At 49.4% G+C, this 17,366-nt stretch overlaps 2 protein-coding genes across 19 annotated transcripts in view, besides 2 other annotated features; one reads left to right on the plus strand and one right to left on the minus strand.

The window, feature by feature from the left end:
• CAPN3 (calpain 3) overlaps positions 1-12,059 on the plus strand; it is a 52,817-nt gene extending 40,758 nt beyond the window's left edge. Inside the window, exons 11-24 of one of the 6 annotated variants that reach the window (NM_000070.3) lie at positions 1,383-1,552; positions 1,866-1,877; positions 2,536-2,744; positions 3,483-3,519; positions 5,668-5,685; positions 7,953-8,066; positions 9,045-9,122; positions 9,529-9,586; positions 9,673-9,737; positions 10,170-10,238; positions 10,330-10,408; positions 10,626-10,742; positions 11,029-11,087; positions 11,489-12,059. In NM_000070.3, the coding sequence (NP_000061.1) occupies positions 1,383-1,552; positions 1,866-1,877; positions 2,536-2,744; positions 3,483-3,519; positions 5,668-5,685; positions 7,953-8,066; positions 9,045-9,122; positions 9,529-9,586; positions 9,673-9,737; positions 10,170-10,238; positions 10,330-10,408; positions 10,626-10,742; positions 11,029-11,087; positions 11,489-11,515 (1,112 nt within the window). In that variant the 3' untranslated portion in view covers positions 11,516-12,059. Of the gene's footprint in view, positions 1-1,382; positions 1,553-1,865; positions 1,878-2,108; positions 2,301-2,535; positions 2,745-3,482; positions 3,520-4,505; positions 4,698-5,667; positions 5,686-7,952; positions 8,067-9,044; positions 9,123-9,528; positions 9,587-9,672; positions 9,738-10,169; positions 10,239-10,329; positions 10,409-10,625; positions 10,743-11,028; positions 11,088-11,488 lie in introns of those variants that run through there. The other 5 variants (NM_024344.2, NM_173088.2, NM_173087.2 and 2 more) reach the window with 5 other exon arrangements.
• Positions 926-1,005: an enhancer, noted in NCBI's record as "active region_9299". NCBI's record gives its function as "activates an Ori minimal core promoter by ATAC-STARR-seq in GM12878 lymphoblastoid cells {active_cell/tissue: GM12878}" and the evidence as "EXISTENCE:reporter gene assay evidence [ECO:0000049][PMID:35858748]".
• Positions 1,376-1,425: an enhancer, noted in NCBI's record as "active region_9300". NCBI's record gives its function as "activates an Ori minimal core promoter by ATAC-STARR-seq in GM12878 lymphoblastoid cells {active_cell/tissue: GM12878}" and the evidence as "EXISTENCE:reporter gene assay evidence [ECO:0000049][PMID:35858748]".
• ZNF106 (zinc finger protein 106) overlaps positions 12,565-17,366 on the minus strand; it is a 78,319-nt gene continuing 73,517 nt past the window's right edge. For 12 of the 13 annotated variants that reach the window (NM_001381996.1, NM_001381997.1, NM_001366844.3 and 9 more), the window contains one exon: positions 12,565-17,102. In NM_001381996.1, the coding sequence (NP_001368925.1) occupies positions 17,046-17,102 (57 nt within the window). In that variant the 3' untranslated portion in view covers positions 12,565-17,045. Of the gene's footprint in view, positions 17,196-17,366 lie in introns of all 13 variants that reach the window. The other variant, NM_001381998.1, reaches the window with a different exon arrangement.

Raw genomic sequence — 17,366 nt, forward strand, 5'->3', positions numbered from 1 at the left:
CCAAGTTAGCAGCTGCTGCAATAGTTCAAGTCAGAGATGATGAAAACCTAGACCAAGTCAGTAGCAGCAGAGATGGAGGGGAGACAGCAGATTTAGGGAGAGCATATTGGGTGATGTAGGGAAGGAAGAAGAATGATGTCAAGATTCCCAGTTGGGGACCTGACAACATTGCAACATAAGACACACAAGAAGATCGGGTGGGTGGCTCATGCCTATAATCCCAGCACTTTGGGAGGCAGAGCCAGGAGGATCACTTGAGCCCAGGAGTTCAAGACCAGCACAGGCAACATAGTGACACCTCATCGTTACAAAAAATAAAAAAAAAAATGAGGTGGGAGGATTGCTTGAGCTCGGGAGGTTGAGGCTACAATAAACTGTGATCATGCCACTGCACTCCTGCCTGGGTGACAGAGTGAGACCCTGCCTCAAAAAAAAAAGACACACAAGAGAAAAATATCAGCGTGTTGTTTGTTTTTGGTGGAGTTAATTGTGGGGTTCTAGGGAAAGGAATTTAGCTTGGGACATGGAAAGTTTGAGGTTCCTGTAGAGTGTCCCAGTGAAGATTTGTAATAGAGCATCGGATGCGCATATTAGATGGCACTTGGTGATATGATAAGAACTCAAAAAATATTTGAGGAATAAAGGAAAGAAGAGGCCAGACGTGGTGGCTTATGCCTGTAATCCCAGCACTTTGGGAGGCTGAGGCAGGCGGATCACTTGTGGTCAGGAGTTCGAGACCAGCTTGGCTAACATGGTGAAAACCCATCTCTACTAAAGATACAAAAATTAACCGGGGATGATGGTGGGTGCCTGTAATCCCAGCTACTTGGGAGGCTCAGTCAGAAGAATCGCTTGAACCCAGGAGGCGGAGGCTGCAGTGAGCCGAGATCGCGCCACTGCACTCTAGCCTGGGCAACAGAGCCAGACTCCGTCTCAAAAAAAAAAAAGTGAGAGAGATTGAGGCTGGGATATATGGCTCAGGCATCATGCGCGTGTAGGGGGCAGTTAAAAAGCAGAAGTAAGAAAGATTGCCTAGGGAGGCAGGAAGGGTGAGGTGAGAGGAGAAGAGGCCCAGGACCAGATTCTAGTCACCAACAGCGTTTAAGGGGCAGGTAAGGAAAACAAAACCATCAGCAAAGACTGAGAATGAAAGCCCAGAGAGGAAGGAAAAGCCACACATACAATCAGTACAGCTCCATCTGAATAAAGGTAGCGCCCCCCCCCCCCCCAAATCATTAGAGAAATGCCTGAATCGTGTTTTCTGTTGATATTTCCTAAGCACCTAGATGTAGGGAATAGAAATAAATGGCTCCCTCTGTCTCATCCCCTTCCTGCCCTCTGAGAGGCAGCTGTGAATGCGTGCTTCCTTTCTGGGGGTGCAGATACTTTCTGGACCAACCCTCAGTACCGTCTGAAGCTCCTGGAGGAGGACGATGACCCTGATGACTCGGAGGTGATTTGCAGCTTCCTGGTGGCCCTGATGCAGAAGAACCGGCGGAAGGACCGGAAGCTAGGGGCCAGTCTCTTCACCATTGGCTTCGCCATCTACGAGGTGTGCAGTCCTGATTGGCTCCAGCCCAGGAAACATACTTTCCCAGGGAGGACGCTTCCAGGGGCTTCTAGAGGGGCCCTCTGGCTTCCTCAATACCCAGTGACCCACAGAGCTCCTGGTATCAGGACCACTTGTGTTTGTAACAAGCAAAAAATACCAGGGGGGGCATTAGAGAGGCAGTGGAGCGGGCCTGGCAGAACAGGTGCCTGGGGGTCAGGCTTCCGCATGCGGGCTGCAGTTGCTGGCATTGCCTTCCGCAGGCTCCTCATCCTCATTCACATCTGAAGCATCTTCCTTTCTGTTTCTTCTCAAGGTTCCCAAAGAGGTATAGCAGCAGCAGCGGCCAGCAGTTGTGTGCAGCACTACCCAGGGGGCCCCGAGTCTGTCTGTGGCTCGTCGAGAAGCTTCCTGGTGGGGTTTGTGGGCAGGACTGTGATAGGAGAGGGCCTTGCCTGTGTTATTTCCACTGCAGAGCAGGTGCCTCAGGGCATTGCATGACCCATGACTACCACCCCCAGGATGTGCACTTTCTCCCTCGCACCAGACACTGCACGTCACACACATGCCTTTGCACACTCACCCTCCTCCACGCTTACAGCCACACACACAGTCACACAGACGCGTTCTGAGGGTGGCTGCCCGCTTGGGATGGAGGAATCACTTCCCTCAGAACCCAGCCAAGTCCTCTAGGCCTCCTTGGGGGTCCTTCCAGCCTGAGGGGCTTCGGAGCTGAGGAGCAGCTGTTCTGGTAAGTGTCCCTGAGTGTGGGGATGACACATTTGCCATTCACTCTGAATCACAACAGAAAAGGAAGAGGAAGTGAGGTAGGGAGGCTATTTAAGCCTTGGGAGTCGGAAGTAGGGAGGTTGAAACTGTGACATGGGTGACCAGGGAGTTGGGAAGGGACCCTTGGAGGTGGCTGTGGCAGGACAGGATGTTCCTCCCGAGGGGCTCATGTGCCCTGGGCTCTCCCCATCTCTCAGATGCACGGGAACAAGCAGCACCTGCAGAAGGACTTCTTCCTGTACAACGCCTCCAAGGCCAGGAGCAAAACCTACATCAACATGCGGGAGGTGTCCCAGCGCTTCCGCCTGCCTCCCAGCGAGTACGTCATCGTGCCCTCCACCTACGAGCCCCACCAGGAGGGGGAATTCATCCTCCGGGTCTTCTCTGAAAAGAGGAACCTCTCTGAGTGAGTGCTGGCCCAGCTTTCCCACGTGTTTCTAAAAGCTCACATGGCCCACTCCAGAGGTTGAAGGCATGAGGCAGCTAGACACGTCTCCTCCAGGGTCCTTCTGCTGCTCCTGAGCCACTGGCCACATTACCCCCATTCATTCATTCATCCATTCTGTGATATTTATTGAGCACCTACTATGTTCCAGGCACTGTCCTAGGCACTAAGGATAGAGTAGTGAAGTAAACAGAAAGAAATCCCTGCCTTCATGGAGCTTAATATTCTAACATGAGACAATAATGGATAGGAAAAACATATGTAGCATGTTAGATTTGGAGAGGTGATATGGAGCAAAAATAAAGTAGGGAAGAGGGATAGGAGGTGTTGGGGATGCTTGAAATTTTAGGTTAGCATGGCCAGGAAAGCCACATCCTGTCCCTGGCCACCACAGATGAGCTCATAGCCCCTGCCACTCTGATCTCTGTCCTTGGAAGATGCACCAGGTCCATGGGTAGGTGGCTGGGTCATGCCTTTGGGGGGCTCTGAGCAATACTAACAAGAACCTGCGTGCCTGGGCTTGGCTGTCGGGGATGGTGCTGACATGGGGCTGGTTCCTGGGGTTGGGGTGTTCCAGGGGTTCTCTAGAGGCTGGTTCTGGCTTGGCTGCCAGGAAGCCGTGCACCAGAGCAAACCGTCCACGGGCCTCCTGCTTGCTTCTGGTGACACTGAGACCCCACATGTCTGTATTCCTCACAGGGAAGTTGAAAATACCATCTCCGTGGATCGGCCAGTGGTGAGTGGTTTAGATCTTCTGTGCGAAAAGTCCAGAGGGTCCCCTTCCCTGACCATGCAGGGGACAGATGGTGCAGGGGAGAATGGGCACTGGCAGAGGGAATGGGAGTCTGGGCTGTGCTGAGCAGTCCCTCCTTGGCACTGCAAATCCTACTTTGGCATGGCCAGAAGTAATCGGCCTTAAGCACCGGGGGCCATTGAGGCAGTTCAGGGGCTGGGAAATATGGAAGAGGGTCCTGGAAAGGAGAAGCAATTTGAACAATCGGAGGGAACAAGGCCACAGGAAGGGATGACAAGAGCCGCAGCGAACACTGGATTCTGAGACTGGATAACATTGGATTTCACACATAGAGAAAAGAAAGTAAGCTGGTGCCGGACCTGGTGTTGACACTTGGATCCTCCACTTACCAGCGGGGTGACCTGGACAATTTCTGTAATCCCTCTCACTCAGTTTCCTACTCAGTAAAACGGGGATGATAATGTGCCTTGCAAGGCTTTTGTGAGGCTTCATCAATGAGGTGATGTATGTGAAGTGTCTGGCACAGCATGGGCACTCAAACAGAGGTGCTTTTTCACACTTTACACCTTACAAGGTACTTTTCACATGTGTCATCGCGATACTTGCAAGGTTGCTGAGAGGTAGATGGGGTTATAATCCCTGGTGTTCAAGAAAGGAAGCAGAGGCTCAATGGGGTTGAATGACTTCTCTGAGTTCACAGAGCTCAGTAAGTGGCAGGGTTGGAACTCACATTCAGACTCTCTGACTCCAGACTTAGGTTTTTCCGCACCTCCACGCTGAGGCCAGCCCCAGGCAGTGAGAAGCCCAAAGTCCGAAGCACAGAGTGCTGTGTGTTGGGCTCTGTGTGTTGAGGAGTCTTGTGACTGCCTTGGGGCTTTGGGCTGTAGTCAGCTGACAGTCCTTTGTGCTCTGTGGGGATGACGTAGGCCAATGGGAGGACAAATGCCCCTCTGAACTGTCTTCTGGGCAGTGACAGTCATGGTCATAATCCTGACCCTGAGCCAGTGCCAGGTCTCCAAGTGCCTTCTGAATGACCACAGGCGATTGGTTTTAGTGGTAGGTGTGTGGGGATCTGTTCTGGTCATCTGGATGCTGGTCATCGGTGTGCAGTATTGATCAGGACCTGCAAACCCAAAAGCTTATGGGAGCTGGCACGTCACGTGAGTAGAGCAGGCAGGTGCAGGGGTTTTGATGTCCCTGCACTGACACAGTTGTCTGCAGTTCTCAATTGACATTTCGCTCCAGTGTCGAGGGTCAACAGGAATGTTGGGGCGTGGGGCAATCTGGAAGACACAGGGAGCAGGGCCCTTGGCTCAGCTGATAGTTGCCGCAGGGATTACAGGCCCAGGGCAGCCTGCCACAGCTGGGGCTTTTACCAAAGAAAATCTCCCTATGTTAAATGCTTGCTCAAAAATTTTTAAAAAATATTCTGTAAGTCAAAATCCATTGTTAGGTCAGTTTGAGAGAGCCATGTTTTTGGTGTTTTAGTAACCAATTTCATTTTTTTATTATTTATTTATTTGTTTATTTTTGAGACGGAGTTTCACTCTTGTCACCCAGGCTGGAGTGCAATGGCATGATCTCAGCTCACTGCAACCTCCGCCTCCCGGGTTCAAGCAATTCTCCTGCCTCAGCCTCCTGAGTAGCTGAGATTACAGGTGCCCACCATCACGCCTGGATAATTTTTGTATTTTTTAGTCGAGATGGGGTTTCACCATGTTGGCCAGGATAGTCCTGAACTACTGACCTCAGATAATCCGCCCACCTCAGCCTCCCAAAGTGCTGGGATTACAGGCATGAGCCAGCACGCCCGGCCACCAATTTCATTTTTTAAAAAAGGAAGAAAGAAAACCTTAGCCAGAAGATCTTTTTCCTTGCCATATGCAGTAAGAGTAGATTATAAAAACAAAGTCAGAGCAGTCACTGGTGTCTGGGCATGGAGGAGAAAGAAGAATTCTCTTCTCCCTTCACCCTCCATGCCCCTTTTTGGCTCCATGTGATTCAGATTTCTGGACCCTGGAGCCCCACCCCAAGCTAAAGACCAGGATACAGGGAAGCCAAAAGCCACTGGCGGTTCTGAGAACTTACTTTTCACTTATTCTGCATTTACTGTTTCCTTTTCTTATGCAGAAAAAGAAAAAAACCAAGGTAGGTGTGTGGGTAGAGAGCATGAAGTGTGTGTACTCATGCATATGTATGTGCATGCATGTGAAGTGTGCATGTGTGAGCTCATATGCATCCATGCACCAGACTTGCCTCTTCCTCCCCCTCCTTCCTGAGCTTCTGCTGGGGCCGAGCGTGCAGTAATGACAACTACGATTTGCTGGGGGAAGGCTACGTGCCAAGCACTCTTTTAGGTGCTTTCCATGATTAATTCCTTCCTCACAACAGCCCTATGAGATTAGTACTATAACTATCCCCATTTTCAGAGGGAGAAAAGGTACAGACTTGACTAACTTGCCCAAGGCCACACAGCCAGAGAGGGGCAGAGCCAGTACTTAGAGCCAGGCAGTCTGGGTCCAGAGTCCGTGTCCTGAACCACAAGAGGCCATCATACACCATCAGATTTGGTGCTAGCATTTCTGGTGGTGCCTGGTGGTGATGGATCCATCACAGGGGTCCTCCAGGTACTGGTGCTGGCCCAGACCAGAGCTGACACTCCTCAGGCACTACCACATTCCAGGCACTGTGCTTGGGGTCAGTCCCTCTCTTTTTTTTCCCCCCCAATTATAACAGTATCTACAAAGTAGGTGCTGTTATTTTTCCCCTTTCACAGGTGAGATAGACTCAAAGAAGTGAACTTGCCCAAGGAACAGAACTAATGAGTGGGGAAAATGGAACTGGAAACCATGTCTGTTTACTCCAAAACCTGTGTTTCTTGCCCTCTTTCTCTGATGCCAGCCCCCTACACTTCAAGGCCTGTGTTGTCCAGACCCACACTCGGGCCTGCCAGTGTGTGCCTGGCAGGGATGCTCCATGGCCACACCATATCCATCCTACACATCCCCCCTCAGACTGTGACCTCCATTTGCTCTGGGATCCCCACAAGCTTCAGCTGCTTGAGCAAGACACTGCTTAGAAGGCAGAGCAAGCCAAGGCCTCTGGGGCCTGCTGGGAGCCAAAGCTGGGGAGCCGTTTCCACGGGTCTATCTGCTTGAGCTGTCCTAGATGAGCAGCATGGAAGGGCAGTGGTGCATGAGTCCAGGCGGGCTGCTTTTCTGCTCCGAGAGGCTCTGCCTGCCCAGTTGTTCTCTGCATTGCAGCCTCAATCCCCACAGCCTTGCCTTCCCCCGGCTTTCCCTACAGGTGCACCGCATCCACAGTGTTGGCACCATGCAGCAGCCGCTCTCCGTCCTTTTCATATCCTTGTCACTTGCACGAGCATGTCTTGAAAATATCCCTTGTTTGTGTAGCATCTTAAATGTTTTTGCAGTATGATTTTGCATTCAGTATCTCATTTGATCCCCACAAGAGCCCTATGAGGAGGGAAAGCAGATTTTACCATTAAAGGATGAGTAAACTGAGGCCAGAGAGGATATTTTTGGTTTTTTTTGAGACAGTCTCACTCTGTCACCCAGCCTGGAGTGCAGTGGCTTGATCTTGGCTCACTGCAAGCTCCACCTCCCATGTTCACACCATTTTCCTGCCTCAGCCTCCCAAGTAGCTGGGACTACAGGCACCCACCACCACACCCAGCTAATTTTTTTGTATCTTTAGTAGAGATGGGGTTTCACCCAGTTAGCCAGGATGGTCTTGATCTCCTGACCTTGTGATCTGCCTGCTTCGGCCTCCTAAAGTGCTGGGATTACAGGCGTGAGCCACCGTGCCCGGCCAGAGAGGATATTTCTTATATGAGGGGCAGGGCTGGGATTCCAGCCCAGTGTTCTGATGGCTCACCCACTGACCATGCCACTAATCCGTGTCCTTTTTCAATCTATACTTTGCAGGGTTGTAGAGGTTCCTTTGAGGTGCCTCAGTAGCTGCCATGGTGATGTGGGGTGCTGAGGGCAAAGAGCTCTGTTCTCATTAATCAGAGAAGCTTGTGTTTTTATATACACCATGTTTCTGCAGGAAATTTAATTTGAACAGTGTTTCCATCTGGAAAAAAAAAAGTCTACAAAATACTTGACAATCACTGCACTAGATCATGCTGCTTTTAGCATTCTTAGCATTTCACGTGCTGAGCTCTCAATACTCTACCATGAGGAGGGATGGAGTGGGTATGAAAAGATAAAGAACTGAAGTCACACGGCTTGTCAGTGGCAGAGATAGAGCTTGAACCGAGGTTGAAGAGCTCCCGCCTATTCCTTTCCTCTTCTCACTGGATAAAGCTGCTCCAAGAGAGGTGCTGCCTCAGTGTGCCTGTTCAGACTGTAATCCTCCCTTCCTTCCTGCCTCCTCCCTCCTCTCTCCAGCCCATCATCTTCGTTTCGGACAGAGCAAACAGCAACAAGGAGCTGGGTGTGGACCAGGAGTCAGAGGAGGGCAAAGGCAAAACAAGCCCTGATAAGCAAAAGCAGTCCCCACAGGTGTCTGGGCATGTGGCATGGGTGGGGTGGCCAGCACGCTACAGGGGCTTCCTATGCGCTTGGGATACACAGGGGCTGGAGGCTTCCCAGGAGTTTGTCTTGAACATCTGGAGGTTTGAATTTGTCCCACTGACCTTTTCTTTCAGCAAGTTCCCCTGAAATTTGGGCTGCTGCTTGGGTGAATATCCCAGGATGGGGGTTCCATTCTAGGAGTGGACTGGCAGGCTGAGCCTCCCATGGAGCTGATCCAGCCAGGATACAGAGAAGGGGAGGCAAAGGCTGAGACAGAACCAGCTTGAGAGCGGAGGCGCAACTCTTGTCTCCTGGTGGCCTTGAGCATTTCACAATAGGGGGATAAAGGATAGGAGCAGAAAAGTGGGGCTGACTTCAGAAATGGGGTCCTCTAGAGCTCACGGGAGGGTGTTAGATTGGAGTGGGAGCTTAGTGGAGGTGAGCCTTAGAGGCAAAAGTCTCCAGACCAATCCAGGGCCCCTCTTCTATCCGGGGGCCCCTCTTCTATCCAGGGCCCCTCTTCTGTCTGGGAGCCCCTCTTCTATCTGGGGCCTCATGCAGTGGGGCCTAGGGGAGGTTCTCTGAGGACTTGGCCTTGATGACAGGGTGGCTGGAGGAATCAGAACGGTCAGACCTTCTTTGACCTGCGGGCACCTTTAGTTGGAATGGTCAGGCCTGGGATGGTGGAGGGGGCTCTTGCAGGTGGGGACTGGGGTGGCGGGGAGGAGGCTGTATGGCCGCCATATCTCCTTTGGCTGGGGGCGTCAGGGCTGGAGAGGTGTGAAGAGTCCCTGAGGCCTCGATGCATCTCACTCCAGCTCACCAGGTCTGCATTTGCCCGTCCCCAGCTCCTGCTGCCACCTCCGGCCGTTTTAGGCACTTGGCTCCCTTGGCCCAGAGGAGCTTGCCTCACAGGCCTGTGCACCTCTGACCCCTGTGAACCAGTTTTCCTTTGTGCCTCCACAGCCACAGCCTGGCAGCTCTGATCAGGAAAGTGAGGAACAGCAACAATTCCGGAACATTTTCAAGCAGATAGCAGGAGATGTGAGTACCTCCAAGCCCAGGACGCCCACAGGTGCTTCCTTCTCTCCTGGATTAACTGCTCAGATTACCAATTATTTCATTATTGTTTGGTAGAGGTCACTTTGGACTTTGGTGGAGCCAGGGGATGTGTGCGTAGCACACAAATCCACAAGCCCTTGAGTTTTGGACTGCCACGTCTGCTGGGGGGCTCAGAGGCCTTTTTGCTCTGAGCTGCCCACGGTGGTCCTGATAGCTGAGGTGCAGTATCTGGCCCCCTGTCTTCCTCAGAAAAGCCCCAGCTTCCCATGACATAATAGCACCGACAGGGATTTTACAAACACAGCCAGGTGGAATTTGTTTTGCAAAGTGTCCGCGCCAGGAGCTGCTGTACTCCTGAACCATGACCCTCCTCTCCCTTCCTCCTCAGGACATGGAGATCTGTGCAGATGAGCTCAAGAAGGTCCTTAACACAGTCGTGAACAAACGTGAGTTGCTCAAACCAAATGGGGGTGGGGTGGGTGGGGAGTCCCGTTGTCTCAAAGCAGCTCCTCACTCTTCTCCATCCCCCCAGACAAGGACCTGAAGACACACGGGTTCACACTGGAGTCCTGCCGTAGCATGATTGCGCTCATGGATGTATCCTTCCTGCCGCCCCTTCCCGACCCTCTGTCATCAGCCCACGGGGGCCAAGGCAACATACAGGGTGCCCAGTCAGGCAAAGGGCCCTAATTTGTGCCCAGGGAAACTTAAGGAGACCCTGATTCAGAACATCTTGGATACTCGTCTGAAAGGGGTTGTTAGAGGCGGAAGGGGAGGATGTTGGGTTGTAACTGCCCTAACCCCTGTGCTTCTCTCAGGCCTGGGATCCTGCCCAAGCAAAAGTGGTCCTTAGGAGAGCGGCTCCTGGGTTACAGAGTAGGCGCAATCTCTGACTGGTGGTGGAGTGGAGGGGAGGGTTAAATAGTACAACAGGGCAGTGGGTAGGACAGCCCGGAGTCTCCTAGACCCTCCCTCCAAATCCAGGGGGATTTTGCTGTGTGCTGTGTAGCCCTGACCTCCCTCCTCCAGACAGATGGCTCTGGAAAGCTCAACCTGCAGGAGTTCCACCACCTCTGGAACAAGATTAAGGCCTGGCAGGTGGGAAGAGAAAATGAAGCGTGGGAGTCAAGAATGGGGTTGATTTGGAGATTCAGTGTGTGACCTCCATCCTCAAATTTTCTATTGCCAGAAAATTTTCAAACACTATGACACAGACCAGTCCGGCACCATCAACAGCTACGAGATGCGAAATGCAGTCAACGACGCAGGTGCTGAGAAGGAAGGGGTGGCAGGGATGTGGACCCGAGACGGTGGGAGCAGGAATGGGAGGGGACTAGGCTACTAGGGCCCCACTAGAGAAAGGAGAGGGAAAGGGCTTCTCACTTTCCCTTCCCAGGTCACAGAGTGGCCGAGAGGCAGGGAAAATAGAAGGCAGGCCCAAGGCCTCCAGCTCCACGTCCACCTCTAACATGGTCCCCTCCACAGGATTCCACCTCAACAACCAGCTCTATGACATCATTACCATGCGGTACGCAGACAAACACATGAACATCGACTTTGACAGTTTCATCTGCTGCTTCGTTAGGCTGGAGGGCATGTTCAGTAAGTGGGAGAGGGGGGCTGCCCTCTGCTCTCTTGCAGGGGCAGTTGTGGCAACAGGCATCTCACCTGATAATCTCCAGTCTGCTCCATCCAGGCTGAACAAGGGCCAATGACCTCTTTAGGCCCAGAATGGGATGGCAAAGGGAGGGTTACTGGTGATTCTCTGCCTGCACATCTTTGTGCTGATGAGGGACAGCACTGGGCACATGGTCCTCTGAGGGGAAGTTACAGTAGTAGAGGCGGAGTGCGCCTGTAACTGGCCTCTGGCCTGTGCATTCTTTCACAGGAGCTTTTCATGCATTTGACAAGGATGGAGATGGTATCATCAAGCTCAACGTTCTGGAGGTAAAGCATAGGCACAGCACATTCCCCCTACACATTAAAACTCAAGGTGGAGGGGTCAACGGGGCGGACTGGACCCAGGGTGTGCTCCTCATTTCCACACAGTGGTGGAGGGAAGGGATAGGAACAGAACATGGAGGGAGGCTCAGCAGGCTCCCAGGACACATGCACTTGAGGCCCAAAAGGACCTCTGCTCCCCCAGTCACTTGATGCGGGAAAACATGCACCTTCTTAGGGAAGATCTAGGAGAAAGGAAACAGTAAGCCACTGCTTCTTGGAAAATCTTCTGGGGGTCTGACCTGCTGGGACTGTTCCCTTTCCTCTTGCCCCGTAAGATTCCTAGGGCGGGGGGGGGGGGGGTCACTCTTTTCTGATCTACATTCTGATCTTGGGACTTCTTTCAGTGGCTGCAGCTCACCATGTATGCCTGAACCAGGCTGGCCTCATCCAAAGCCATGCAGGATCACTCAGGATTTCAGTTTCACCCTCTATTTCCAAAGCCATTTACCTCAAAGGACCCAGCAGCTACACCCCTACAGGCTTCCAGGCACCTCATCAGTCATGCTCCTCCTCCATTTTACCCCCTACCCATCCTTGATCGGTCATGCCTAGCCTGACCCTTTAGTAAAGCAATGAGGTAGGAAGAACAAACCCTTGTCCCTTTGCCATGTGGAGGAAAGTGCCTGCCTCTGGTCCGAGCCGCCTCGGTTCTGAAGCGAGTGCTCCTGCTTACCTTGCTCTAGGCTGTCTGCAGAAGCACCTGCCGGTGGCACTCAGCACCTCCTTGTGCTAGAGCCCTCCATCACCTTCACGCTGTCCCACCATGGGCCAGGAACCAAACCAGCACTGGGTTCTACTGCTGTGGGGTAAACTAACTCAGTGGAATAGGGCTGGTTACTTTGGGCTGTCCAACTCATAAGTTTGGCTGCATTTTGAAAAAAGCTGATCTAAATAAAGGCATGTGTATGGCTGGTCCCCTTGTGTTTTGTTGTCTCACATTTAGATATCAGCCATGCATGACTGAATGGCTTCCAATCATATACTCACCTATCACCTACAAGAGAACAATGAAAAACACACACAAAAACAAAATCTTGAATTTTGTAATCATGCCTATTGCTATTTCTTGAGCATAAGAATGGCTCAGATACTTTCCAAGACATAAAAGGAAGGCAGAGGAATAGTTGTTGCTGTAAAAGACATCAAGAATAAATGGGTCATGTACAACGGGAGGGGCCGGTTACCTGAATAATGGAGTGGAGATTGAGCTATCCTAGCTCCTCTGCTCACTAACTGACCTGTCGCATGACCGTGGACAAAACCCTGAACGCAGCTGTTTGTTTGCTAAACTTCTCTGGACCATGGCCTGCGGCATATCTATAGGCATCCTGTGTTTTCCACCCAGTTTCCTTCTTCCTCGCTAAGCCAACGTGGAAAGGGCTGGCCGTGAATATGCAGACAAGGTAACGAAAGTAAACCGTCAATTAGTAAAAGTACTTTATTTTCCTCTTGTATTTGCTTTATATCTTGCTTTACAAAGTTACGAAGTTCACAGCTTTATACCAAAATGTAAGAAGGCTATTTGCTTATAAACATTTTTGCAGTCAGGTGTCATCTGATTTCATTCTTCTAATCCATATTCAATATTAAAAAAATCAGAAACCAAGGGTGCTGGAGCAGCTCTAGGGCATATATTTCTCTTAAATAGGAGAAAGATTTTCAACAGCTTTTCCTCCTTGACCCCCTCCTTTCCCAATTTATTTGGGTCACTACCTTGAATTTAGAGTGAATCTGGGAAATGTAGTCACCAGGTAACCCAGCAGGGCCATATACTTGGGCTTGGAGGTGAGGTTAGAGGTTACTGTCTAATACAGTAGGTCTGGTTTCTATGAGGAGCTCATATCCACTTGCATAAGGAAACCTAGTCTATCCCAAATCACCTCCACCACAACTTCTATTCCTGTCTATTAGACCACTTCTCTTAAACCCGAGGAACCTGATGATTTGGGGGCAGGGATAAAACCATTATTTTATAAATGTGGCAGGTATGGCCTTCGTAATTCTAGAAGCTCCCGTTTAGGTAACAGAAACAAAATTTAGATGTAAGCATAAACTGCAGTTATTTGAGCAAACCAGAGCATATGTGCTGTTCAAATCCCACTTCACAATATACTTCAATCTCACCTCCAATGAATTCTCTTCCATAAAATAAACCATTCCACTAAGTATATACCTACTCCCACCAAATCATCCACATGCCTCATCACTAAAGTTGTCCCTTGTATAATCTACCAGCAAAAAGACAAAATAAAACCTGTGTTAAGCAAATAATCACTTAAACAGTAATAATATTGCCTCTAAATTAAAGGTAAGTCAGGAGCTGAACACTCAACTGTTAACTCTTCTGGGGAAGAAGAAAATTTTTCCCACAAAAGCAGGAGTGCAGTAGTAAGTAATGACTTTCTCTCAGATTCAAGTAACATCAGGTCAAGATAACCTTTGCTGTTAGAGTTTTGTTTGCATGGTGTGGAACTGCTTTATAAACTGAGTAGAGACGTATGCCAAAATTATTTTTAACCTAATTAAAAACTTTCACAGAAAACTTGAAGTGACTGATACTTTATCACAACGAACTGCCATTTAAACACTAGCATAGGTACACAAAAAGATTTATACTATGGTTTTCTTGGCTTTAAGCCATTAGAATTAGACAAAAGCAACCGAGAGTAACATTCTAAAAGTGGCTTCAACTACTTTAAAGACATGAGTCAGTTTTTGTCAGGTCATTTAATGGTTTCTTTCCTTCACAAAGCCACTAAATGCCAGAGTCAACACAGATCCCTGAGCCATAGCTCTTCTCTGAGGGGAAACAGGGTTATAATCAGTCACAACATTGTGGAAGACATTAAAAAAAGAAGGCAAAGTTCTGTATAATTTTCAAGACTCTTGTAAGTAGTAACACACAGCCATAAGCAGCCAAAATGCTTATGGTCCCTTTATTTCTTAATAGAGGGCTAGAACCGTTCATTTGGGGTAACACACTAATCTGGTGTTAAAAGAATTTCATGTGTTCTTGAAACAAAGGCATACTGCCACTGCTTCAAAAAAAGCCTTTGTGAAATGAAGAAAAATATGACAAACACAGGTTCCCACACGTACACATACATACAAAGGAACCTGCACACTTGCACACACACAGGCAGGTATAGGCACACAGTTCCACCAAAGCGAAGTCCAAATCAGAGTTCTTACCGATTCTACCACTCTGTAATACTCTCAGAAGTTCCCACAACTGCCCAACACCTCACCTACCCGTTTCCTGCTGCACAAAGTCTCCTTCACTCTCATCTTTTCGATACATCGTCAGGCAGGGCAGAAGGGCACTACGCCGCAGAGCATTCGAGGCTCTCAGCACACTGCCAGCCAGCGTGAAAATGCGGCTTCACTACAGCCCAGAGAAAAGGGCCAGGTTTAGTCATCGATCCAGATGCATTTTCCCGGGAAATGACCATTCCCAAACCCACAGAACAGTTTGGCTTCTCTGGATATCCTTATAGGAAATAGGGGTGAGAGGTGGGAAAAGCTTCTCAATCTCATACAGAAACAGCACAAATATTTAATACACCTTTTGCAACAAGATCTTCTCTGTTCTCCATTAAGCATCATGTAAATCTCACTAGTGTGGTTAACAAAATGGCTTTCCCCAAGGACAGAAGTCAAGAGCTTGTGGGGCCATATATTATCTAGTACTAGGCCATTCATTATCTCCTAGATTAACTCTTTTTTTTTTTTTTTTGAGGTGGAGTTTCACTCTTGTCGCCCAGGCTGGAGTGCAGTAGTATGATCTTGGCTCACTGCAACTTCTACCTCCAGGGTTCAAGTGATTCTCCTGTCTCAGCCTCCTGAGTAGCTGAGACTACAGGCACATACCACCACACCCAGCTAATTTTTGTATTTTTAATAGAGACGGGGTTTCACTATGTTGGCCAGGCTGGTCTCAAATGCCTGACCTTGAGTGATCCACCCGCCTCGGCCTCCCAAAGAGCTGGGATTACAGGTGTGAGCCACCAGGCCCGGCCTCCTAGATTAATTCTTGACATTTTTTGGATCAAGTAAGAACCACTGGAGCCTTTCCTGGAAAAAAGAACACATACTCAGTCTCACACACAATTTCTGGGGGCTCACAGACCCTCTTGAAGCCTATCCATAAACCCCCTGGTGAAGTCCCCCTGCCCGATAGCCTGAGGGAAGACATGTGAGTGGATATATGTGCACTAACAGGGGCGAAGACAGACCTGGATGGTCTGCAATCCCAGAGAGCATGAGGCACCATGTCCCAAAGCTTGGTATGTGGCCCTGGGCTCCTCCCCCAATTTTATCTCTCTGAAGAAGCTGAGTTTTTTTTTTTTTTTTTGAGACGGAGTCTCACTCTGTCACCAGGCTGGAGTGCAGTGGCACGATCTCAGCTTACTGCAATCTCTGCCTCCCGGGTTCAAGCGATTCTCCTGCCTCAGCCTCCTGAGCAGCTGGGATTACAGGCGCCCACCACGCCCGGCTTTTTGTATTTTTAGTAGAGACGGGGTTTTGCCATGTTGGCCAGGCTGGTCTGCAACTCCTAGCCTCAGGTGATCTGCCTGCCTCAGCCTCCCAAAGTGCTGGGATTACAGGCGTGAGCCACCACGCCCGGCCACGTTCTGAGTTTTGAGGATCCAGAAACAAAAGGCTGGAAAGCGACACTTCTACAGGTTTACTGATGAGTCCGGAGAAAATCCAAAAACAAAGCCCCACTGAGGGTTTGTGAATTTGGCTGTTCTCAGTGGCCAGGCAGAGTCTCTGCTCCACTCTTCTTTCCCAGCTAGCAGGGAAGTGAAGGCAAAGAACTGTCTCAGAAACAAGTCTCTAGGAAGTCTGCTTGAGGTCCTGAAAACTGTATTCAGATGCTTTATTCTAACCCCCTCTCCCCCACCATCTTAGTTGCTGCAGGGGGGTGGAAAACACCCCGTGAGCCCAGAGGAATATTCGATGGCTGCCATCGGTCTAGGCACGGCCATACAGTGGGAGAGATGGAGGCTGGCAACTGAACAAACCAAAAGGGTTCAAACCAACATTAGGCTTGCAGGGTCAGACACTAGAAAGGAAGATAAAGGTACACCTCCAGTTCAACAGCCTGACAGGATCTGTAACAGGTAGTGCCCAGGTTCAACAGCAGATGTAAAGGTAGACGTTAGGTCTACGCACTGCCTCACACTGAGCTTTCTATCCACATTTACAGAGATTTACTAGAAGTGGTGTCTGTAAGGACTTGTCACTATGTGATTTGCTTCCTGAATTCCTAAAAGATAGTCAGCAGAGCAGCCACTGTTTGTCAAAAATCTACTGTGTCCTTTAGCACTTAAAGCCAGCTCTATCTATAAAGCAAGAAAACAGTGACACACACTGCACATAATTGTTAAGAAAGAAAACTATTTGCTTCCAGTTTAAATACCCAGCTATTACAAATGGAGAAATTAAAACTGATCCTCAAAGTCTGGCACTTAAACAAACTTGTACTTAAAAGCCTGACTATAGGTTTAAACCATCATAAGAACATAAATTAAAAATTGCAAACTGAAATCAATAAAATATACATATGATTAGGGTCAAACTGGGTAACCAATTAGGATCTGTATCTTCAATAAACATCTGGAGAACGCAAATAGCATATATCACTATATGCCATGCTGTCCCAGAGAAGTATGGTTCCTTAACATTTGTCTAAATCTATTTAAAACCTCCAGCAAGAACTTAAAAGTGTAATTTATCATCCCATAGAGCTGCCCAGACTTATGCTAGGGGTATGCCTGGCTAGTAACCACTTTCTCCTTCCTTACTTCACCAAGAAAGGGAAGAGAGTGGCCTGTGTGGGGGGCCAATGTGAAAATAGTTCAACTAATGACTTCCCAACGTGGGAGGCAAAAAACTTCATGAATCAATTTTGCTGTCATCTTCAGCATGTCGTTCAATATGTCCTGCAGCATCCTAGGAATGAAGGGAAAAGGGCCCATGAGAGAGAAGTCGATAGTAAGACAGGAGAAAGTCAAAGCCAAGGAAAGCCATGTGGGTCCATTCCACCTAGGATCCAGACAGGAAAGGCAGTTAGGAGCCAGCACTTTGCTAACTTACGTGAAACCATGTACTTAAAGGTGAGCTGTTGTCTCAGCACAAGAGCACTGTAATAAATCTCCAGGTTCAGTTACTGGATTTGAAACATCTGAAAACATTCTCTTTAGGCCCTTTCTCAAA

The sequence above is a fragment of the Homo sapiens genome, chromosome 15 (assembly GCF_000001405.40).
Source record: "Homo sapiens chromosome 15, GRCh38.p14 Primary Assembly".
Classification (NCBI taxonomy): Eukaryota; Metazoa; Chordata; class Mammalia; order Primates; family Hominidae; genus Homo; species Homo sapiens.